This window comes from Homo sapiens, chromosome 11 (genome assembly GCF_000001405.40).
Source record: "Homo sapiens chromosome 11, GRCh38.p14 Primary Assembly".
NCBI lineage: Eukaryota > Metazoa > Chordata > Mammalia > Primates > Hominidae > Homo > Homo sapiens.
In genome coordinates this window covers 35,491,618-35,517,760 of record NC_000011.10, presented here as the reverse complement: position 1 = coordinate 35,517,760, position 26,143 = coordinate 35,491,618, and the positions used below count along the sequence as shown (strand labels likewise).

Sequence of the window (26,143 nt, the reverse complement as noted above, 5' to 3'; positions counted from 1 at the left end):
TACTGAGAGAACTGATGGTTCAGCTTGGCATTTCCCAAAATGGGTTTCAGGAAATGCTAATCCTGGGAGATATTCAGCAAAAGTAAACAGAATCCAGGATGTTATGATGAAATAAGTCTGGGGGATTTGGAGATTATAGACTCTGCAGAGTCCTGCAGTAAAGAAAGCTATAATTCATTTTTTATAATGAAATATTTCACAAAGTTGTTTGACCACAGAGCCTCTTTTTGTCTTTTTACCTTATACCATCCAGTGGAATTAGTGCTTCATGGAATACAGTTTGGAAAACTCTGACCTCTTGCCCATAAGGCATAAAACATGGAAGAATATCTCACCATTACAGAGGAAAGGGTAGGAAGGGACTTTGAAAGTCTAAGAATCATGGGCTTCTCTTCAGACTTTTGCTGAGGTATGAGTAGGAAGTCTGATGTCCTCATCACTTAACGTTTGCTGAGATGTTGAAAGGGCCATGAGATGATGGCACATCCATGTTCCTATGAGAAAGGTTCTTGCCAGCACTAATCAATTTGGGCTATGGAGAAAACTCATTTCCTGTATTCCAGGTGCTTGTAGTAATGTGAGTGGTCTTGGATCATTTGGCAAACTGAGCTGTGAATCTCATTTGTTAGCACGCCTGATGATGTGGCAGTCTGGGGGAGTGAGAAGAGCTGTGACTTGACTTCTCAGCTAGATGTATCATGTCAGATACAATTATCGTCAGTCTACAGAGAATATTTGAGCATCCTTCTAATCCCTGGGACATTAAGTCTAGGGTCTAATCACTCCCTTCTCCCACCTCTTTTTTCCCCTTCCCCCCTCTCACAGAGGCTTCTCTAATCCCTTGCGATTATTTGTTTGAGCTGCCCCCTGCATTGTCACTGTTTCTACCTGACTGATATTTCATTAGATCATCATCGACTACCAAACATTTGACTATAATGTAAAGTAAGAATTGTGGTCCAATTTGTGGTCAAAATTCTCTTGTGTTTGTCAGTTCTGGTAGAGCCCAGTCACTGTGACCTTGATTTGCACAACCTGAAAGTGGTCTGTCTGTTTACACTGGGGCTGTATCCCATAGAGACAGCACATGGGTTTGCGCTGTTCATTGACCCCTTGTTTGTTGTTTGTGGGACCTACTTTATTCCTGCCTTCGCTAAATATTGTTCTTGTTGTCATGCAACACGGTTTTTCCCTTGGCCCTAGCATTGTGTGCCTTCTCTCTCTGCCCGGACTTGTTTCAGACAGGATGACTGCAGTGACAATGGATGAGGAATGAAATCAGCTGCTCCTTTAAAGGACATCTTGCCTAAGTGGATTTTGGGAAACTATGATCTTTTCAGCCCCCACTGAATATATACCGAATTCATCTTTGATACAGATTTCTTAGAATGGATGTAAGTTTACATGTGCATGCACACAGCATAATAAAAGTAGGCATATGAGGTGCATATTTGTGTGTGTATATGTAAGTATGTGCACATGCATGGGGTATAAAGTATTGTGGTTTGAAACACTGATCAGGGTTTGAATCCTCGCTCTGTCGTTTATGGCTGGTTTTATTTAGCAAGTTACTTCCCCTCGCTGATGTGGCCCTATCACCTTCCAATCTGCAGACTGAGGATAATTGTGTCTATATCATAGGTTGACTGCAGGTATTAAATGAGATAATCCATTTAACATACTTAGCATAGTTCCCTGGCAAAATGGGAATACTTGAGAAATTAAAGTTGTCATATACTCCTCCCCTTCCTTCTTGTACTGTTCTCACTAACACAAGTTTCACAAGGAATTGAGAAGGAATGATACTGGGTGTTTTCGTCTATAGTTTGACGAAACTTACATGATCCTCTTGAGGCTCCCTTTTTCAGGCCAAAGTCCCATTCTATTCATCTGTGACTCTGTCAGAGAGAGAAAAAAAAAGAGAATCCCAAAAGACTTGGCATACATCTGTCTGTTGACACTTGCTCTCTCTCCTTGGTTTTAACATGCATCCACCTTCCAGCCTTAGGAGAAATGCCTTTCACATGCCATGGCTTCATTTCTCTGTGTTTGAAATAGGGCTGGTGGCAGGTTCTTGTAGGCATGTGAGGGATAATGTCTTATAGAACAGGTGGTTCTGGGCTAATGATGCTCCACCCCAAACACTGAGGCCCCCTTAAAAGTCTGCAGATGAGACGTTGCTCATGGCCATCCACCTGTTGTGATTCAAGCTTAGAGCCAGCCAGGAATCCTCAGGCAAAAAGAAGTTTCCCTTGATCGTGTTCTAGCTTGCAGAGCTGGGGGAGGTAACTATAATAAGGACTAGCCTGCCTGAAGTTGCTGTCAGCTCAGGGCTTCGGGACCCATTGGACATACCATTACAAATGCATCACCCTGGCTCAACATATTTCTACACTTGACATCTGTTGTTGGCCAGCTGCCTTTGGTGGACAGAAAATCTGGCTTCTGCTTCACATAGGGGAATCTGGATAGGAGGACAGTAACAGTAATTCTGGAAGCTTTTGGCAAAGAGGTAGACAGTGGCAGATCAAGACCCCTGATGTAGTCCTAATGCACTCTGACTCAGAAAGAAGATTTTAAAGTGTGCAAGCCTGGGAACAGGTGGGATAGTTTGTAGAATTCTTGGGTCTTGGGAAAACGAGATTGGATTTTTAGGGTATAGCTTATATTTCATTGTTTTTAATGTCGTCATTCTAGTGCTTTGATTGATATAATATTTGTTGAATTGTATAGCCAAGTTTTATTTATTTCTTTTTGAGACTGGATCTTGGTCTGTCACCCAGGTTGAAGTGCAGTGGCACAATCATGGTTTGCTGCAGTCTTGACCTGCTGGGCTCGAGTGATCCTCCCACCTCAGCTTCCTGAGTAGCTGGGACCACAGTTGTGTACCACCATGCCCAGCTAATTTTTAAATTTTTTGTAGAAACCAGGGGGTGTGGTGCGGGGGTGGGTTTGCTATGTTGCCCAGGCTGGTCTCAAACTCCTGACCTCAAGCCATTCCCCACCACGGCCTCCCAAAGCTCTAGGATTACAGGCATGAGCCATCACACCTGGCCGCCAAATATTTTTAGATGCATTATTCAATTATTTTATTCAGTAACCAATGCTAATAAAAATAAGACCTATTCAGCTCATATTCCAACATTTGAAATAACCCAGAAGCAGCTGTCCTTCAAGGATTTCCAGCACCACAGTTGTTGAGGATAATGGCAACTGGGGGCACCTTCAAGCTCCTAGAGTTTGGGTTTTGTTCCCTTTGGGTATGGATGTAGAATTTCTGTTTTTAAAGTAAAGCAGCAGGGGGCAAGATAAATGGAAGAGGGATTAGAGAAAAGGGACTAGGAAATGTAAAAGCAAGTGGGTGGAGCCCACAATGCCATGATATAAACCTGAACAGACTGCTTGAAAAGGCCATGTATGTGTGGGCCCCTGGAGGAGACATTACATCTCGCCTCCTTCGTTCCCTTGCCATCTGTGTCTTTTTCTGTTCTGCAGAGAATAATGGTAATGTCTGACAAATATGCATTTTTTTCTTCAAAAACCCTTTATGCTCATTGTGTTTTTTCAACTGCAGTGACATCAACAATCTCATCCCTGTGCCTCCATCCTCTCGAGGCTGTAGGGAAATGCCGTGGCAAGGTTTCTTGTCCGTGGTTGTCCAGCAGCATAAAGGAGGGGCAGATTCCATGGATGTGGGTTCAGAGTATAGCCCAGAAGATCAGAATCCCTTTCAAGGCCACTAAGAAGTCAGGATTATTATCTTTCATCTTTAGACAAGTGGGAAAGGAGAACCAGTGCAAAGTACAGCTTTACATGGACTGGAGGGAAGGTGCCTTTTTGGTAACGCATTCTCCTGGATATAGTAAAAGCAGCATCACCAAACTGTGATTTTCAAAGGAATATGCTTATTTGAGAGGCAGAGACTTTGCTCCCACCTCCAGAGATTCTGAGGGAAGATGTCTGGACTGTGGTCCAGGAATAAGACTTTTAAGCAAGCATCCCAGGTAGTTTCAATACAGGTGGTCTGGGGAGTGTGTTGTAAATGAGAACATGGGCTTCTGATGCACACAGACTGAGTCCCAGCTCTGCCACTTACTGTATAACCTTGATTAAGGTACTTAATCTTTCTGTGCCTTGGTTTCTTCATATATAAAATGCAAGATAGTAATGCAATTGTGAGGACTAAATGAAAGAACACAGAGAAACACACGGAAAGCACTCGGCATGGTTTCTGGCTCAGAGCAAGCTCTCCATGTAAGTTTATTGTTGTTGTTGCCATTCAGAATGATGAACGACATACCTGAGAGCCAGACCAGCATGATGGTTAATGCTCTCTGACTCTGGAAACAGCCTACTTGGATTTGAATCCTGTCTCTGCTACTTACTACTTGTGAGTATTTAACCCCTCTGGACCTCAGTTTTCTCATCTATAAATAGAAGTGTTAATTGTCCCTATGCTATAGGGTTGTTGTAAGGATTAAATGAGATGATATAGATGAACAACCTAGAACTGTGTCTGGTATATAGAAAGTGCTGTGAAGGTGTTTGCTATTAGTATCTGAAACAGGTTATTCATCAACCATTTTCAGTGATCTCAGAATATAACAATATCTCCCCTAAACTTTCCTTTGGTGTCACTATTGGAAGCAGAGCTCTGTTCTGAATAGACTACTGATAAGACTCAGAGCATGATTGTTGATCTTAAACATGATAACACTAAGTGCTTACTGAGCATCCTGCTCGCCACTTTCCTTTATTTATTTATTTTTTTAGACAGGGTCTCACTCTGTCACCCAGGCTGGAGTGCAGTGGTGTGATCACAACTCACTGCAGCCTCGACCTCCCAGGCTCATGCGATTCTTTCACCTCAGCCTCCTGAGTAGTTGGGACTACAGGCACATGGCACTATGCCCAACTAATTTTTATATTTTTAAAAGATGGGGTCTCGCTGTGCTGTCCAGGCTGGTGTCAAACTCCTGGGCTCAAGAGATCCTCCAGCTTCAGCCTCCCAAAATGCTAGAGTTACATGCATGAACCACCATGCCCACCCTAACCATTTTCCTTTTATTAGGTTTTGTATACTCATCACAACCATGAAGAAGTACTATTATTACCCACATTTCACAGACGAGAAAACTAAGAAGTTTAGTGACTCGCCCAAGGCCACCTGGGAACTGGTGGAGCTGGGATTCAAATTTGGGCAGCCTCATTTCTGGATGTTTCTACTCACCAATGCTGCTTTCTTCTTCAACTGTAAAGTCAGAGGCATGAACTCTCAGGAACCAATTATTGTGTTGGAAAGAGCAAGGCTTTGGCCCCAAAAAGCTGAGTTCTGATCTTTCTTTTCACCTGAAAGCCGTGTTACCTGGGGCAATTTATTTACCCTGTTTCCTTATCTGCTAAATGAAGAAAATAACCTACCTCAAAGGGAGGTTATGAGAATATAATGAGCTGGTATGTGTCAAGGGCTCATATATATCCTTAGTGGGTGCTGGGTGTAGAGGAGGATGAATGAAAAGCCACAGTGTGAGACAGTGTGCTTAATAAAGGATGAGAAAGGAAAGAAAGCAACACATTCATTTTCGATCCTCTACCTCTCCTCAGGGTACATGATAAAAAATCAGATTTCTAGCAAATCCATTGAAAGTTTTATCACTCCTGGTACCCAAAGGGAGGGTGATGATGGCCTTGATTCTCCAGCTGTCAGTATGCTGTTAACAGGAGCAGCTGTGAGAAGGAAGGAGAAGACTGAGGTCACCGAGGTTGAGATCCAGCCAGGCTAGACTGAGGGTCACTTGGTGACAGGTTGGCTCTCAAAAGCTCAGGGGGAGGGATAGAATCACCAAGAGCCCCAGCAAGCAATCTGTCGCCTCTGACTCACAGTCTCATCATTCCTGCTTGGCCTTGTCGGTGTCATCAGCCCCATGGAGCCGGTGGTCAGATCCTCCAGCGGTTAGGAATGTTGTGTGCTGCTTAGACATCAATACCAGAGATTCAGACAGCACAAGATGAGGGGGCAGTGAGTAGGGATGGGTGAGGAGCCCAAGCTGCCTAGTTGTATCTCTCTCTGTTTCCTATGTCCTTTTTTCTCCCTCTGGTCTCAGAAAGTTTATAGAATTCAGACGGTAAAAATAAAACCTCAGTAGAAATTTTAATTAAATGTGGTTAGAAGGGAGAGCTGTGGGGCTTTTGGTGGACTCAAAGGTAGGTTTTAACATCAAGGAAGAGGAACAGGCACATGACAAAAGTGTCTTTCTTTGCCACCTTCTGGGGTGGTCTTGGCCAGGGCCTTTAGTCTGACATCTGATGTTTCTATTTGGTCTGGAACAGCCTGACCCTTGTGTTTGTACAGAATCCTCAGAGTCTTTTCAGGTTGACCTTAACAGCCATCATGGCAACATATTTTCTTAAAATATAATGTTGAAGACATTGCACTTGCAGACGATGCCTGAGGGGCACATTTGCTGCTCCTGTCCTTCTGCATAGCTAAGCCCCTGCTGTTTGAGGGATTACATGCTTCTCCATCTATCAGCAGTAGAAACGGACCAGTATTGGATAGTTGTAAAGCACATTTTGTCAGCCTGGTGAGGGGCTGTGCAAGATGATGATGATTATGACAGCTTTCTTTCACTCACTCATTCATTCATTTGTTTACTAAATATATGAAAGCTGAACCTGTGCCAGTTGGTCAGCATTGTTTTCAATGACTTGCTATTCTCATTGATGAAACAGGACCAAGAGGTTAAATGTCTTACATTTGCCAAAGTGAATTCTGAAAGGAACAGGGCTGGACTAATATAACTGGACTTCCCACTTTAGATAGGAGATGCCAGGATGGCTGCCCATAACCATGGAAGTTGAGAGAAGTGTTTGGACTTATGATGCCAAAATACTTTGCAACTGTCTTAATATTTTTTTATTCTGATTTTAAAGAGGGGATCAGGGGAGCACTTGCACACATAGAATAATTATGCAGCAATTTAAAATTTCGTATAAAGACTATTCAATGCCAAGAGAAAACGTTCGTGATACAAGAAAAGAAACAGTTTCTAAAATAAAACATATTACCAATTTTGAGAGATAATAAGACTCTATGTTTATACATTTGTTAATACCTACATGTGGATATATATGCCCATTGAAAACATGACTTGAAGGATAGACATCAAAATGTTGACATCTTTTCTGAATACCTTTAATTTCCTTATTTAGACTTTCCTTCATTTTCCAAACATTTTCACAAGGAACTCTTTTTTTGGGGGGATAAAAAGTGTACTGTTTCCGGGGGTGGGGGCGGGGAGGGTTGTGCAGGGATGAATAGGCAGAGAACAGAGAATTCTTAGGGCAGTAAAACCACTCTGTAGGATACTCTAATGGTGGGTACATGTCATTAGACATTTTTCCAAACCCATAGAATGTATAAGACCAAGAGTGAACCCTAATGTAAACTGTGGGCTCCAGTGATAATGATGAGTCCATGTAGGTTCATCAGTTGTAACAAATGCACAGCTCTAGTGGGGATGTTGATAATGGGGAGGCTGTGCAATTGTGGGAGGGAGGGTATGTGGGGAATTTCTATACCTTCTTCTTAATTTTGCTGTGAACCTAAAATTGCTCTAAAAATGAAGTCTTAAGTGTTTTATAAAGAAAAAAATATTTTATCCAATGGAAGAGCTAGTGATGAATGAATGTGTGTAGCACCCAGAACTCCCTAAGCTTGATTTTGCTGTGTGATCATGGGCATATGCTTGTTTTCTCAGTGCCTTGGTTTATCCCAGTGTGGGGTCTATGAGTTCTTTGTGTTTTCTTTGTGCTTATTCATTGGGAAGCACCGACAAGGTAAAATTTATTTGCAGCTTTCATAAGGCTTTGCCTTTAAATGTGAAAAGCAAAGTTAAGTTTGCTCAATTCCAGTAGCTGGCAAAACTACAAGTTGGCCCAGCTCTTTCCTCCTAAGTAGGAGGCTTGTTCACTGCCCCTCTCCCTACCCCTGGAATTCTGTGAACCCCTCTTTTCTCCCAGAATTAATTCTTTAAAAAAGATTCTTTGGTATTTCTCTTTGTTTCAATAAATAAGACCAATCCTTCCCTACTTCACCCTTTTCTTCACTGGTAAAGTGAAGGAGTTGGGTTAAATAATTTTAATTTAAAATAAAATTTATTAGCAACTTAACTAGATCATTTTTAAGATTAAATTGCATTAAGAATTTAAAAACATTTTAGCTGAAATAATGTTAAATTGCTTTAGCATACATACAGGAAAACATTCAATAATTTCTACTGCTGTTGATATTGCTCTAAATCCTAGTTTCTGGAACTGGCCCTTAGCACCACATTGAAATTCCCTGAAATTTGTACAGCTGAAGCCAAATGGCCAATGTGGCCCTTCCACAAATGTAATTATGATCAAGGGGAAAAAAAATGCAAGCAACAAGATGTTGCTCTTGTCTATTTATTGAATTTTAAAATGTCTTTAGCTGGTTAACTTGAAATATTTCTCAAAATATATTTCATGTATCTATTTCTTACACATTCATTTTTCGGGGGTACTTTTCTGTCTCTACTCAAGCTGGGAGAGAAAGAGGGATAGTGGATTTATCAAACCAGAGGGGAAGGAACAAAGTTACAAAATCATCCAAACCATCACCTCCATATTGCTTGGAACTGGTTTTATTTTTGCAAATATAGTCATGTGCTATATAATGACATTTTGGTCAATGACAGACTGCATATATGATGGTGTTCTCATAATTTTTTAATAGAGGGCACTATTCATAATAGCAAAGACATGGAGTCAACCTAAATGCCCATCAATGGTAGACTCAATAAAGAAAATGTGGTACATATACACAATGGAATACTACACAGCCATAAAAAATGACATCAAGTCCTTCACAGCAACATGGATGGAGCTGGAGACCATTATCCTAAGTCAACTAACACAAGAACAGAAAACCAAACACTCCATGTTCTCACTTATAAGTGGGAGTTAAACAGTGAGTACACATGGATTTGTATCCACGTGTTCCACAAGGGAACAATGGACACTGGGGCCTACTTGCAGGTGGAGGGCGGGAGGAGAATGAGCATAAAAAGATATCTCTTAGGTACTATGCTTATTACCTGGGTGATGAAATAATCTGTACACCAAACCTGCATGATACATAGTTTACCTACATAAAAAAACCTGTGCATGTACCCCTGAACCTGAAGTAAAAGTAAAAAAAAAAAAAAAAAAAAAAAAATGGAGGTTCCTGCTTCCAAAATGGTGGCATAGAAGCAAGCTAGCTTTACTCTCCTGACACAAAACCAAAAGTAAATATATAGCACTGAGATTTTCAGTAGCAAAGTCCCAGAACTCAAATATGGGGATGACTGAGTTTCAAGGGCCACAGAGAAGTGAAAAAACTCTGAGCAGATGGTAAGAGAATTGAACTTCCATATCCATAATGTCCCTCTCCACAGTCTTCCCAACACAAAGCATGTTGAAAATTTTCTTCTGACTCATGGTTTCTACACTGGAAAAACTGATATTGAGGTGGATAACCAGCTTCCCCACCATCTTGGGTTCTTTGACAAGAGATCCTTTCCTGCCTCAAAGTGCACAGGAACCATTGTAAGTACCTGAAGGGAAAAATACCCCTGGCAACAGCAAGAGACAAGCCAGAGAAAGAAAGGACTACCATCCACAGCCCTGGAAATTCTGCTCTTTAACGCAGCAAAAAGAAACACCAAATCAGAGTGGTGATTCAGTGGCACTATGCTGCAGGAGGTACATCCACAAGTTCCCCAGGCATGAACTCCTAGCCAGCCTTTCAAAACTATTGGGATATTCCTTTTGGGAATTCCCCAATTTGGAACAGGCAGTTTTCTGTTTGTTTACTAGAGCCAAGGCAAATCTGGGCTTAAGACACCATCTACTGCCCAAAAAGAAGTAGCAACTCAGCAGGAAAAAAAAAAAAAAGATTTCAATAGGTAAATTACAAAGAATTTCTAAGCAAACATACCCAGTAAAAAATAAAACAAGCCATACAGAGACGACTAAAATAAATAATCCTTCAATGCAAAAACAAAGATGTGCACAAAAAACAACAGCAAACAGGGAACCATGACTTCCCCAAATGGACAAAACAAGGGAGAGTGACTGACCCTAATGAGATGGCAATATGTGAGCTCTGACCAAGAATTTAAAATAGCAGTTTTAGAGAATCTCAGTGATTGCTAAGATAACACAGACTATTAATTCAGAAATTTATCAGAAAAATTTCACAAAGAGATTAAATAATAATAAAGAAACCAAACAGAAATCTTGGAACTGAGAAATACATCTGCTGAACTGAAAAATTTGAGGCTTTCAACAGCAGAATGGATCACACAGAGGAAAGAATCAGTGAGTTCAAAGTCAGGCTATTTGAGGCTGGGCATGGTGGCTCATGCGTGTAATCCCAGTGCTTTGGGAGGCCAAGGTGGGCAGATCACCTGAGGTCGGGAGTTCAAGACCAGCCTGACCCACATGGAGAAACCCCATCTCTACTAAAAATGCAAAATTAGCCGGGCTTGGTGGTGCATGCCGATAATCCCAGCTACTTGGGAAGGCTGAGGCAGGAGAATCGCTTGAACCTGGGAGGCAGAGGTTGCAGTGAGCTGAGATTGCACCATTGCACTCCAGCCTGGGCAACAAGAGCAAAACTCTGTCAAAAAAAAAAAAAAAAAAAAAAAAAAGTCAGGCTATTTGAAAATAGAGGAGAAAAAAGAAAGAAAAGGAACAAAGATGATTTGTACAATATAGAAAATTACCTCAAAAGAATAAATCTAAGAATTATTGGTATCCGAGAGAGAGTTGAACAAGAGCAAAGCGTAGAAAGCTTATTCAAAAAAAAAAAAAAGAACTAAAAAACTTTCTAAACTTAAGAAAGATATAAATATCCACATGCAGGAAGGTCAGAGAACACCAAACAGGTTTGACCCAAATAAGACTACCCTAAGGCACATGCTAATCAAACTCTTAAAAGTCAAGGACAAAGAGAGGACCCTAAAAGCAGTAAGAGAAAAGAAGCAAATAACATACAAAAGAAGCTCCAATTTGTCTGACAACAGACTTCTGAGTGGAAACCACTCAGGTCATGGGGGAGGAGGACAACATGTTCAAAGTGCTGAAAAAAAAACAAACCCTGCCACCCAAGAATATGGCATCCAGCAAAGCTACCCTTTGAATAGGAAAAAGAGATAAAGTCTTTCTCAGATAAACAAAAGCTGAGAGAATTACCACCACCAGACCCATCTTACAAGAAATGCTAAGAGAAGTTAGTTAATCTGAAAAAAAAAAACACCAAAAAACAAAAAAAAAACACTAACATGCAAAAAAAATTTTTTTTGAAGGTATAAAACCCACTGGTAAAATTAAATACACAGATAACCCCAGAATACTCTAATACTAAAATTGTGGTGGGTCATTCACTCATAACTCTAGTATGAAGCCTAAAAGACAAATCTGTCAAAAGCAATAATAGTACAGCCATTTGTTAAGAAATAGGCAGTGTAAAAATATGTAAATTGAGACAACAAAAAGTTAAAATGTGGGAGGGATGGAATTAAATTGTAGAATTTTTTAAAAGCTGTTTTCTTTCTTCCTGTTTTTTTTTTTTAGTGATCTAAGGTAAGTTGTCATCTGTTTAAAATAATTTGTTATATCTATAAGATATTTTTGTAAACCTCATGGTAACTCAATGAAAAAAAATCTGTAATAGATACAGTAAAAATAAAAAGCAATGAATTCAAACATACTACCCGAGAATAACCCTTAACCACAAAGGAAGACAGTAAAAAAGGAACAAAGGAAGAGATGAGTTACATGACAGAGAACAAGCCACAAAATGGCAATAGAAGTACTTACTTATCAATAACAACTCTAAATTTACATGAGCTCAATTCTCCAAAACTAAAAGACATAGAATGACTGAATGGATAAGAAACAAGACTCAATTATATGCTGCCTACAAGAAACCCACCTCACTTATACAGATACAGACTGAATGTGAAGGGATGGCAAAAGAAATTCTATGCAAGTAGAAACCAAAAAAGAGCAAGAGTGGTTATACTTCTATCTGATAAAATAGCATACATGTTAAATACTGTGAAAAGAGACAAAGAAGGTCACTATATAATATGAAGAAGTCAATTCAGCAAGAGGATATAACAATTATAAATATCTATGCACCCAACAATGTATGCACCCAACAATAGAGCACCCAAGTATATAAAGAAAACATTAATAGATCTAAAGGGAGAGTTAGACTGCAATACAATAACAGTAGGGGACTTCAACACCCTACTCCCTGCAATGGACAGATCATTCAATCAAAAAATAAAGAAACATTGGAGTTAAACTACACAGTAGACTAAATGGATCCAACTGACATTTACCCAGTAGATTTCACCCAGTTGCTACAGAATACACATTATTTTCATCAGAACATGGAACAGTCTCCAGAATAGACCATAAAGCAACTCTCAACAAATTCAAAACAGTTGAAATTATATCAGTTATCTTTTCTGACCATAGTGGAATAAAACTAGAAATAAATAACAAGAGGAACCTTGGAAAATATGCAAATACATGGAAATTAAACAATGTGCCTATGAATGACAAATGGGTCAATAAAGAAATTAAGAAAGAAATTTAAAAATTTCTTCAAACAAATCAAAATGGAAATACAACATACCAAAATCTATGGGGTACAGCAAAAATAGTATTAAGAGGGAAGTTTGGAGCAATAAACACCTACATCAAAAAAGTGGTAGGACTTCAAATAACATAACAATGCACCTCAGGGAACTAGAACAACAAAAAAACCCAAAGTAAGTAGAAGGAAATAAATATAAAGATTAGAGCAGAAATAAATTAAATTGAGACTAAAAAAATTAAGAAGAGCAATGAAACAAAAAGTTGGTTTTTTGAAAAGATAAAATCAACAAACCTTTAGCTAAAATTAAAAAAAAGAGGAATCCCAATTAAATAAAATTAGAAATGAAAAAAGACATAACCAAGACCACAGAAACACAGAGAATTATTAGAGACTATTATGAACAACTATAATCCAACAAATTGGAAAACCTAGAAGAAATGGATAAATTCCTGGGCACTTGCAACCTACCAAGGTTGAACCAGGAAGAAATAGAGAACCCCAACAATCCAATAATGAGTAACAAGGTTGAAGCTGTAATAAAAAGTCTCCCATCAAAGAAAAGCCCAGGACCATCTGATGGCTTCACTGCTGAATTCTACCAAACATTTAAAGAAAAATTAATACCAATTTTCCTTAAACTCTACCAAAAAAATTGAAGAGGGAATATTTCCAAACTCATTCTATGAGGCTAGCATTGCCCTATTATCAAAACCAGACGAGGATAGAACAACAGCAAAAAAGATAACTAGAGGCGAATATCACTGATGAGCCCAGATGCAAATAACTTCAACAAAATGCTAGCGAACTGAATTCAACAACACATTAGAAGGATCATTCACCATGATCAAGTGGGATTCATCCCAAGGATGCAAGGTTGATTCAAATAATATGCAAATAAACAGACATGATACATGCATCAAAAAAATCAAGAACAAAAACCATGTGATCATTTCAATAGATGCTGAAAAAGCATTTGATAAAATTCAACATCCCCTCATGATAAAAACCCTGAAAAAACTAGGCATAGAAAGAACATAGTCCAAAATAATAAAGGCCATATGTGACAAACCAACAGCCAATATCATATTTAATGGGGAAAAAAATGGAAAGGTTTCCCTCTAAGATTGGGAACAAGGCAAGGATGCCCACTTTCACCACTTTTATTATTCATTATAATACTGGGAGTCTTGGCCAGAGCAATTAGACAAGAGAAAGAAATCAAGGACATCCAATGTGGAAAGGAAGAAGTCAAATTAGCCTTGCTTGCAGACCAAATAATCTTATATTTAAAAAAAATCTAAAGACTCTACCAAAAAACTGTTAGAACTGATAAATGAATTCAGTAAAGTCATAAAATACAAATCAACCTATAAGAATCAGTAGCATTTATATACACCAACATAATCTGAAAAACAAATCAAGAAAGTAACCCACTTACAATAGCTACAAAGAATATAAAATACCTAGGAGTCAATTTAACCAGAGCAATGAAAGAGCTATACAAGGAAAACTATGAAACACTGATGAAAGAAATTAAAGAGGTCACAAAAAATGGAAAGATATTGCATGCTTATGGATTGGGAGAATTAATACCATTAAAATGACAATACTACTCAAAGCAATTTATACTCAAAGCAATACTACTCAAAGCACTGAATCTTCAGTGCAACTCTTAATCAAAATACCAATTACATTCTTCACAGAAATAGAAAAAACAATCCTAGAGTTGATATGGAATCACAAATGATTCTGAATAGTCAAAACAATCCTGAGCAAGAAAAAAAAAAAAAAAGCTGGAGACATCACACTACATGACTTCAAAGTACACTACAAAGCTGTAGTAACCAAACCAGCCTGGTACTTACATAATAGTAGACACATAGACCAGTGAAACAGAATACAGAACCCAGATACAAGCCCACATTTCTTATAGCCACCTCATTTTTGACAAAGGTACCAAGAACATACAATGGGGAAAAGAACAGTCTCTTCAATAAATAGTGCCAGGAAAACAGGATATGTATATGCAGAAGTATGAAACTTGACCGTTATTTCTTATACATAAAATCAAATCAAAATGAATTAAAAACTAAATCCAACATGAAACTATGAAGCTACTAAAAGTAAACATTGGGGAAATGCTCCAGGACATTGATCTGGGCAAAGATTTTTTGGGGAAAACGTCAAAAGCACAGCAATGAAAGCAAAAATTGACAACTGGGATTATTAATACATGAAGCTTAAAGGCTTCTGCACAGCAAAGGAAACAATCAACAAATTGAAGAGACAACCACAGAATGAGAGAAAATATTTGCAAGCTATCCATCTGACAAGGGATTAATAAGCAGAAGATACAATGTGCTAAAACAACTCAATATCAAAAAAAATCTGATTTAAAAATGGGCAAAACCATCAATGAGAGACTGGACAAAGAAAATGTGGTACATATACACCATGGAATAGTATGCAGCCATAACAAGGAACGAGATCATGTCCTTTGCAGGGACATGGATGAAGCCAGAAGCCATTATCCTCAGCAAACTAACACAGGGACAGAAAACCAAACACTGCATGTTCTCACTTATGAGTGGGAGCTGAAAAATGACAACACATGGACACAGGGAGGGGAATAACCCACACTGGGGCCTGTTAGAGGAAGGTGGGTTGGGGGAGAGCATTAGGAAAAAGAGCTAATGCATGCCAGGCTTAATACCTGGGTGATGGATTGATAGGTGCAGCAAACCATCATGGCACATGTTTACCTATGTAACAAACCGGCACATGTTGCTCATGTACCCCAGAACTTAAAAATTAATTAATTAATTAATTAAATTTAAAAATGGGCAAAAGATCTGAATAGACATTTCTCAAAAGTAGACATACAAATGGCCAGCAGGTATATGAAAAAAATGCAGAGAAATGCAAATGAAAACCGCCATGAGATATCATCTCAACCCAGTTAAAACGGCTTTTATCAAAAAGACAGGCAATAACATGCTGGTGAAGACATAAAGAGGGACCCTGGTACAGTGTTGGTGGGAATGTATATTAGTGCAGCCATTATGGAAAACTGTATGGAGGTTTCTCAGCAAACTAAAAATAGAACTACCATGTGATCCAGCAATTCCGCTACTGGGAATATATCCAAAAGGAAATATATCAAAGAGACATCTCCACTCTTATGTTTATTGCAGCACTATTCATTATAGACAAGATATGGAATCAACCTAAGTACCCATCGGTGGATGATTGGTGAAAGAAAATGTGGTGCCTATATATAAGGGAATATTATTTATTTATACGAAAGAATGAAATCCTCTTATTTGCAGCTACATGGATAGAACTGAAGGTTATCATGTTAGGTGAAATAAGCAAGCACAGAACCATAAATATTGCGTGTTCTTACTCATATGTGGGAGCAGTGATCCTGATCCTGTGTAGGCCTAGGCTAATATGTATGTTTGTGTCTTAGTTTTCAAGAAATAAGTTTAAAAAGTAAAAAAAAAATAATAATAATTAAATTAAAAACAGGAAAAAACATATAGTATAAAAACATAAAGAAAATATTTTTGTACAACTGTACTTGTATTTGTGTTTTGAGCTGTTGTAAAAGACTCAAAAAGTGAACACTAAAAAGTTTATTGGCTGGGTGCAGTGGCTCACACCTGTAATCTCAACACTTTGGGAGGCCAAAGCAGGTGAATTACTTGAGCCCGGGAGTTCAAAACCAGCCTGGGCCACATGATGAAACCCTGTCTCTACAAAAATAATACAAAAATTAGCTGGGCCTGGTGGCACATGCCTGCAGTTCCAGCTACTTGGGAGGCTGAAGTGGGAGGATCACTTGAGTTTGGGAAACAGAGGTTGCATTGAGCCGAGATTGTGCCACTGCACTCCAGCCTGGGTGACAGAGTGAGACCCTGTCTCAAAAAAAAAAAAAAAGAAAAAAAAAGGTTATAAAATTAAAAAGTTACAGAAAACTAAGGTTAATTTATTACTGAAGCAAATATTTTTGATAAATTGAGTGTGGGCTAAGTGTATGGTGTTTATAAAGTCTACAGTAGTGTACAGTGATGTCCTAGGCCTTCACATTCACTCACCACTCACTGACTCACCCAGAGCAATTTCCAGTCCTGCAAGCTCTGTTCATGGTAAGTGCCTTATATAGCTGTTCCATTTTTTAAATCTTTTATACCATATTTTTTCTGTTTAGATATGTTTAGATACACCAGTACTTACTGTTGTATTACAATTGCCTATAGTATTCAGTACAGTAACATGCTGTACAGGTTTGTAGCCTGTGTGTAGGTGTGTAGTAGGCTATGCCACTTAGATTTGTGTAAATACACTCTGATGTTCACACAACGATGAAATTGCTTAATGACACATTTCACAGAACGTATGCCTGTCATTAAGTGATGCATAGCTGTAGATGGATTTCTTTCTGTAATTTTATTTAAACCTCCCTAACCCGACGAGGTCGGTAGATTTGGTGCTAATGCCCCTTCATGACCACTCATTCATTCTTATAGCATTCTAAGTTTTCCCTGTTGTGGTTTATGATTATGTATTTGTGGGGTCGTTTGACCAATGTCTTCTCTATTGAACTGTGAGCACCATCAGGCTAGTGATGATGTCTATTTTTTTTCTATTGTATTCCAGCGCCCCATCTCTTGCCTAGGATGTAGTCAACACTCAATAAATACTTGAAAAACAAAAGAATGAGTTCATCGATTCACCCTTGCTCTTGGCATTGTGCTCAGTGGAGAAAATGAGGAACAGAGTGATTCAAAGACTTGCTGTGGGCTAACCTTTCTTTCAAGAAGTCCCAGTATGTTAGTCCCCTACTGATACTGTAACAAATTACCACAACTTTAGGGCTTTAAAACAGCACACATGTATTACCTTCCAGCCGTGAAGGTCAGAAGTCTAAAATGAATCTTACAAGACTAAAATCAAAGGGTTGGCAGGGCTGCATTCCTTCTGGATGCTCCACAGGAGAAGCTGTTTATTTGCCTTTTCAGACTTCTAGAGGTTGCCTGCCTGCCTCCTTGGGTTGTGGTTCTACAGTCCATCTTCAAAGTACATCACTCCAACCTCCATTTCTGTCGGCACACCTCCTTTCTGACTCTGACCATCCTGCCTCCCTCTTACGGGGGGCCTTGTGATTACATTGGTTCCACCTGGATATTACAGCATATGCCTCTCATCTCAAAATTCTTAAACTAGTCACATCTGTAAAATCCCTTCTGCCAGGATTCCCTGGGGTCATTCCCTTAGACTGAGATGGATCTTACCTATAAAGTAAATAATAATGAAGTAAAGAGGGCAGAGGTGGGCTTGCTCATTGGAGTAAAGAGAAATGGATCTTATCTATAGAGTAAACAGTAATGGAGTAAAGAGGGCTGAGGTGGGCTTGCTCACTGGAGTAAAGAGAAATACCAATAAAGCTATTTTAGGGAATTAATTCCTGGGTAAAAGGGAGACCCCTGGCATGTGACAGGCCGGAGGTGAACGAATCTGCTGCTTAGGGGGAAACAGGGAGTGGAACAAACCTTAAATGGCCTTCCATGTTGATGTACAGAATCTTATAAAAGTTGCAAATTATTTATCCTGTTGGTGTCCTCCCTTGAGTTATTAGTATTTACAAAATTATTAGAAAACCTAGAAGGATGTAGTGCTTGCCGCAGGGTGAATAGAGGGAGGGGGTGAGGCATGAGCCACACCCCATGGGCATATTCGCTGTTCAGAGAGTGGAACGAACATACATCTGTACAGGGTGGGGGCTGGAGTCCAGAAATATGAACCCAAGGCAGGCCACCTGGACCCCCATGTCTAGATACCTCGCTGTGGGAGGAAAGGCACCCAGCTCTGGTATCAACAAGTTAGAGGCAAAGCTGGCTCTCCTGGCTCATGGCTCCAAGCTGAACCCACTGGATGGAAATATTTGACTAGTGAAGGAAGGGTAGCTCTTAAGTTCAGGCCGAATTCATTCAACAGATATTTATTCAGCACCTCTGTGTGCCAGCCAGCCCTGCCCTGGCAGTGGTGAACAGGTTTGATGTGGCTCCTGTTAGCTTATGGGCATGTAAGGGAGGCAGACAGTCAGCAGGTAAATGAGAACAGAAAACGATTCTCAACTGTGGTAAGGACCAGGAAAGGAAACACATAGGATAGTGAGACAGAAATAACCACGGATGGGATCGAAGGGGTGTGCATTTTGGAGGGGAAGGCCAGGGAGGACCTCTCTGAACAGGCGTCATTTACGTGAAGGCCTGAGACGGAGGCCTTGGGAGAAGCAAATGTGGAGTCCCAAGGTGGGCCAGAGCTTGGTGGTTTTGAGAAATGGAGAGAAGGTGGGAAACAGTGGCCAGGAAAAGGTGGACGGAGTCGGGTGAGCATAGGCCTCAAAGGCCTTGTGGGCTGGGGCAGAGAATTTGAGGGTTACTGCAAAAGCGATGGGAAGCAAGGTGACCATTTTAAGCAAGAAATTGATCTGACATACGTAAAAAACCATATCCTTGAGAAATATGAGCATTCTCTATTGTTTTTCTTTTTTTCTTTCTAAGCTATTAGTTTCTGAATGTTTAGTACATACTGGGTGCTGTGCTAAGCTGTTTATATGCATTATTTTGTCTAGTATTTTCAACAGGCCTAAATTGGAGAAAATGTACACTCATTTTACTGGATACTAAACTGAGACTGAGAGAGTAACGTAGCTTTGCCAAGGCAAGTAGCAGAGGGAGATTCCAAATGCAGGTCTGTTGACTCCCATGTTTGAGCCTCTAACCAATTTGTTCTCTCTCACTCTCCCTCCTCGACTTTTCACAATTAAAAAATTGTGGTAATATATATGTAGATAACATAAAATGTGCCCTTTTCTGGTATCACAAATACCAAAATTTGAATAATTTGAATAATGGGCTATACCACATGGATTTACAAAACTACAGCATATTATTAATAACACACATTCCACTAGGAAAACTTGGCACAGGTAGGAGCATGTGATGTAAACAAGAACTTGCACAGGATTCATAGTCTTTGCTACTTTCAAGTAAGCTTGGTTTTTGTCCTGTGCATATGGCCTGTGTTTATTTCCATCCTGTGGCCTTTGGGTATGCTATCCTTTCTAACTGGATGGCTTCCCTTCATTCTCTCAGCCTTTGAAAATATGATTTTTTTCTATGTTAAAAAGAAGCTATATATATAAAAAAAGAAAGCTGTATTGAGTTATAATTTTTAGATATTTTACTTGCAATGAGAAAGAAGAGAAGTTGAATGTTATAATGTAGTACAGTAATAAATATCAGTACAGTGACATGTTATAGTTGATCAATCACTATTTATTGAAAATTCAGAGTGGTCAACATGGTCTTAGGGTTTATGGACACACAAAAACATTTTACCTATAGGAAGATATAAATGTACAATGAAGGGAGAGCTAAGGGGTAATTAAAGCCCAGTGCAGATAATCAGAGGAGGAGTGGAAGGATAGAGAAGGCTAAGAAAATGTGCCATTTTAGCCATTTTAAGTGTATAATTCTGTGGCGTTAATTAGATTCCTGTGATTGTGCAACCATCACCTGTATCTAGTTCACCACCCCAAACAGAAACTCTGTAACCATCAAGCAACACCTCTCCATTCAGCTTTCCCCCAGCTCCTGGTAACCTTTAATCTACTTTCTGTCTCTATGAATTTGCCTATTGTAGATATTGCATTTAAGTAGAATCAGACAATATTTGTCCTTTTGTGTTTGGCTTCTTTTGCTTGGCATGATTTCAAGGTTCATTTACATTGTAGCACCTAGCAGCTCCTCATTTCTTTTCATGGCTGAATAATATTCCATTGTATGCACGTACCTCATTTTTTATTTTTTATATTATTTGTTATTATTACTATTATTTTCAGACAAGAGTCTTGGTCTGTTTCCCAGGCTGGTGTCCAATGACACAATCTTGGCTCACTGCAACCTCTGCCCCTGGGTTCAAGCGATTCTCGTGCCTCAGCCTCCTAAGTAGCTGGGATTACAGGTGTGCACCACTGCTCCCGCCTAATTTTTTGTATCTTTAGTTGAGATGAGGTTTCACCATGTTGGCTAGGCTGGTCTCAAACTCCTGGCCTCAAGTGATCTGCCTGCCTCAGCCTCCCAAAGTGTTGGGATTACAGGTGTGAGCCACTGCGTTCAGCCCATGTACCTCATTTTGTTTATCCATTTGTCTCTTGATGGAAAATTGAGTTGTTTCCACCTTTTGGCTATTGTGAATGAACATTGGCATACAAGTATCTCTGAGTCTCTGTTTTCAATTTTTTAGATCTATACCTAGAAGTGTAATTGCTGGGCAATTCTGTTTAGCTTTAAGAGGAACTGCCAAACTGTTTTCCATAGGGGCTGCACCATTTCACATTTCTATCAGCAATATACAAGGGTTCCAATTTCTCTACTTCTCTGCCAACACTTGTTTTCCATTTTTCCCTTGGTTTGGATCATAGCCACCCTAGTAAGTGGTAGCTCATTGTGATTTTGATTTGCATTTCCCAAATGACTTGTGATGTTAAACATCTTTTTGTGTGCTTGTTGGCCGTTTATATAGCTTCTTTGGAGAAATGTCTATTCAAGTCATTTGCTCATTTAAAAAACTATGTTGTCTTTTTTATGGTTGAGTTGTATGAGTTTTAGAAATATGTCCTGGATATCAAGCCTTTATCAGAAATATTTTCTGATATTTTCTCCCATTTTGTGGGTGGTCTTTTCACTTATTTGATAATGTCCTTTGCTGCACAAACATTTTTAATTTTGATAAAGTCTAATTCATTTTTATTTTGTTGCTCCTGCTTTTGGTGTCATGTCTAAGAATCCATAGCCAAATCCAAGATCATGGATGGAGATTTACTCCTATGTTTCCTTCTGCTGTTCCTCACTTTTAACCATTAAATTCTCATCCAGATTTTAGAAGTCATTCACTTTGTCAGTAAAACATCAGAGACATGGGAAGCGCAGCTAAGTAAGTCATGGTGGTCACCCTGAAGGGGCTCAGACAGTAGTGGTGGAAAGAAATCTCAGTGGCGATTATGCTATGATGATGTAGCCATTCATTCCCAAACACCAATGTAAGGATCTTTTCTGGCCCACTAATTTGTGGAAAAATGATTTAAAAAGTCAAATTTTCATGAAACTAAATTTATTCCATTTAAATAACTGTCCCTCATTGTGCGAGTGTCTGCCTTCTATGATATTAGCATGTTCTTATGACCTGAGGCTAAGATAGATGATGATAGTTTATTTAAATGGCTCTACTTGGAAAATTGAGAGTGATCAACCCTGTGTCACACTTCCTAATTTGGGGAGGAAACTATGAAATTCAAGGGTTTAGAAGCCACTGCAGGTGCTAGAATTCATTTATGCGGGCCTACGAAGCATGCTGGTGATCCCTGCCTGGAGTTTCTTGGGAAGGTTTTGTGGGGATCTTGTCCGGATTCACTTCCTCAAATATCCAATTCATTTCAGCTGTAATTGTCATCTTTGTGCAAAATTTTTAGAAATAGAGAGTGGGGAAAAAGAAGAGGAAATCAAAACTAGAAGGTCTGTTTCTTAGCCTGACTTCTTCTGGGCAGCCTCTGACTGATTCCTCTTATAGGTTTTGCCAGATGGTTTTTCTCTTTACTGAAGGTATATATAAAAAAAGAAAATGAGAAGGAAAGAATCCTGCCCAGAAAGGGATTTTTTTTTTTTTTCTTATGAGAAAGAACACTCAGTTGCACTTGGCGCCTGAATGAAGTTGGGCTAATGAGTTCACCATTGTAAAACAGTGAAATTCTCCCAAACATACTAATTAAGGTATTTTTTGTCTTTTCTATTGGTTTTCGCTTTGAAGGTACTATGAAAATGGCACGCTGAAAAACTGAGGGGCCAAGTTTGGAAGAAATGACATAGTCTCTACTTGGCAATTGGCCTTGCACTTGAATGACCTGGTGTGGAGACTGGTCTCCAAATTTTCTGATGGCCACATGCCTGGGCTGCAGTATGTAGTCATGCAGTTTAATGGCTCGCTATGGATCTGTGCAGTGCACAACCTATGTAGTCGTAAACAGTGGCCTGATGTATTCTAACAAAAATATAAATAAGCATAGACACCTAAGAGATGTGTGCTGGTTTATAAATTATATACAGGTTCTATTGTCAATCCACCTAGATTATATATTGATGAAACTTGATTTCTTTTTTTAAAGATAAAAATAAAAATGAATAGCAGTTATAACAAACTTCATCTATGCTCCCATGCGTGGTTTTAAATATTCCTTGGGGTAGGTCTCCCTACTTTGGAGACATTGGCCTGGGAAGAATTCACATGGGTCTTCTTTCTCATTCGGGCAGGGCAATGCATTTATAGGGCAAGGTTGCCTCTTAGCAGTAGAGTACTTAAGAGTCTTACCACTCCCTGGGCCGGGTGCGGTGGCTCACGCCTGGAATCCCAGCACTTTGGGAGGCGGAGGCGGGTGGATCACGAGGTGAGGAAATCGAGACCATCCTGGCTAACACGGTGAAACCCGGTCTCTACTAAAAATACAAAAAATTAGCCTGGCGTAGTGGTGGGCGCCTGTAGTCCCAGCTACTCTGGAGGCTGCGGCAGGAGAATGGCGTGAACCCGGGAGGCAGAGCTTACAGTGAGCCGAGATCGCGCCACTGCACTCCAGCCTGGGCGACAGAGCAAGACTCCGTCTCAAAACAAACAAACAAACAAACAAAGAGTCTTACCACTCCCTGCCAGGACCTAGCCTCACCTGCTGGTTTTCCATTTCAGAGTACACAGTCATTAATGAAGCCTGCCCTGGAGCAGAGTGGAATATCATGTGTCGGGAGTGCTGTGAATATGATCAGATTGAGTGCGTCTGCCCCGGAAAGAGGGAAGTCGTGGGTTATACCATCCCTTGCTGCAGGAATGAGGAGAATGAGTGTGACTCCTGCCTGATCCACCCAGGTGAGTGTGGAATGGGAGACTTCAGGTTGCCTTCATGTTGTTGGAGGTAATGAACAGGAACAGGCTGAACGCCTGAATTCTAGCAGGCAGCCATCAGGAGGCTGTGGTGCCATGATTATGAAAAGTGACACAATTCAGCCCATTCTAACTAAAGGCACAGGAATAAAAGGAGTCAGTACTCTTTTCAGTGTTAAACTTGTGAAACTTTGAATTCATTCACTCATTCATTTAACAAGCTGACTGAGCAGCTTTATGTACCATGTGGGGTACTGGGAATACAATGATAAAACAAAAGACACACTTCCGGCATTCCCAGAGCTTATAGCCTGGGGGGATATGGAGAACAGGCAGCTACCATACAGTGTAGTAAGTGCTATGATAGAGAAGCATGGGGTACTATGGCAACATGGATGGGAATGGGGGCAGGTGGGAGGAAAGTCAGTGAAGACTTACTAGAGAAGGTGGTGAGCATGCTGATGGGAGAAGCAGACTAAACAAGGTGAGGCGGATGGGGAGGAGAAGTCAAGCCACAGAGGATAACATGTGCGAAGGTCCTGTGGCAAGAGGAAGCATGGGTTTTGGGAGATGCAACTAGCACAGTCCGGCAGGAGAAATGTGTATGTGATGAGAGACCTGGATAGATGGAGAGAGGGAGGGAGAAGGAGAGGGAGAGTGAGAGGGAATTAATGAATGAGAAAAGATTAAGAGAGAGCAATCTGAAGGGAGGAACAAGAGCCAGATCCTGAAGTGCTTTGCAAACTGTGCTTCAAAGTTTAGGCTATATACTGAAGATATTTTGATAACATTGGAAATCTTTTAGTAAAGAAGGGAAAGCAGATTTTTCTCTTTAGCTGTAGTATGGGGAAAGGATTGGAGGACACGCATGACTAGAGGCAGGAGAGAAATAATGGGGACCTTAATAAAGGTAGAAGCTCTATGGATGGTGAGAGGTAGAGGGATTTGGGATCTGAGAATGGAATTGACCACACGTTGGGATCTATCGGGTGGGATAGGAGAGGGAAGGGAAGAACAGAGTCAAGTCGGATGCTCTGGCTTCTTTGGGTGGGGACACAGATCCAAATCATATCACCCAGTTTGACAAATGAGGACACTGAGTCACTGAAAGCTTAAACAATTTGCCCAAGGACACACAGCTGCACGATGGCAGAGCCAGAACTCAGTTCTCCATTTTGTTAAGTGGGATTGAATCATTTGTACTTTTTCTCACGACCCCCCTCTCCCTCAAGAGGCCATGTTTTTAAACTGGTCCTTGTTGGGGAATCACACAGACCCCTCTGGTGTGGCCTGCTGGTTGTGGGGAGCCCGACACATTCCACGGTGAGCCTATTGTTAGACAGGAGAGTTGTTTCCAATGGCATGCTTTCATTACGGAAGTATATGGCAGGAAGATATTTACTGTCTATTATGAAATTCAAAAGTAAGTTACAAAAACAATGTACCATAAGTAATATAAGTCTAATTTAAAACATGTATGTGTATATAGGCAGAGAAAGACTGTTAGCAATAGCCTGGGTGATGGGGTTTTAGATATTTTTTATTTAATTCTTTTTACTGGTCTAAATTTTCTAAAAATTCCACAATAAACACGTAACATTTATACAAAAGACTCTATATTGATAGATTCTTCTGTTTCCTGCAGGCAATTTCATGTTACTTTAAAACAGCAGCCACTACCTGGGATACTCGTTGAGACCACCCTTCTAAACTCCCCAGTCTGAATTCTGGTGCCTCTAGCAGTTTCCTTGAGATGAGAGGTTCTTCCTCTGGGCTCTGACACCTTTCTAGGCCCAGATGCTCTTAGTTGAGACAGGGCCCTGAGAAGGTGCAGTTGTGCTCCCATGCAGCTGATCAGAACTCGCAGGTGCTTTGGCCTAACACTCCTCTTCTTGGGAATGTTTCAGGTTGTACCATCTTTGAAAACTGCAAGAGCTGCCGAAATGGCTCATGGGGGGGTACCTTGGATGACTTCTATGTGAAGGGGTTCTACTGTGCAGAGTGCCGAGCAGGCTGGTACGGAGGAGACTGCATGCGTAAGTAGACCTTGACCTAGCTCCATCTCTAGTGCACACTGTCTTAAAGTCTCAGCTTACAATGGACCAAAATTTATCTCCTTGGAATCTGAGTTTTGGAAAGCCTGCAGCCAGAGGGCTTTCTAGGTAAAACTATAAAAACAAAGATGGATTTCCATCTGCAAGGTGTGGATTGTGAACATTTGTTTGAATTCTTGGCCACAGGAGGTTTATGTCTACTCTTCAATCTCCTCTTCCTAAGTGAGGCCAAGGCTTTCTGCTTTATGCATTCCAGAAGCAATTGCATGGTAGCCTTGGTCAGCAAACAGTGAATAAGTCTTCAGAAATGTTGTCTGTAGTGCACTGTACGTATGAATTTCTGTTGGTAAATTTCTTGAATCCTGAATTAAATTCCTGCAACCCACAGCAAATTGCTAGCATGCCTTTT

General features: G+C 40.1%; 1 protein-coding gene across 4 annotated transcripts in view; it reads left to right on the top strand.

The window, feature by feature from the left end:
* Positions 1-26,143, top strand: part of PAMR1 (peptidase domain containing associated with muscle regeneration 1) — a 98,474-nt gene that overhangs the window by 12,540 nt on the left and 59,791 nt on the right. For 3 of the 4 annotated variants that reach the window (NM_001282676.2, NM_001001991.3, NM_015430.4), the window contains exons 2-3: positions 23,489-23,665; positions 25,588-25,716. In NM_001282676.2, coding sequence (NP_001269605.1) covers positions 23,489-23,665; positions 25,588-25,716 — 306 coding nt within the window. Of the gene's footprint in view, positions 1-4,283; positions 4,391-23,488; positions 23,666-25,587; positions 25,717-26,143 lie in introns of all 4 variants that reach the window. The other variant, NM_001282675.2, reaches the window with a different exon arrangement.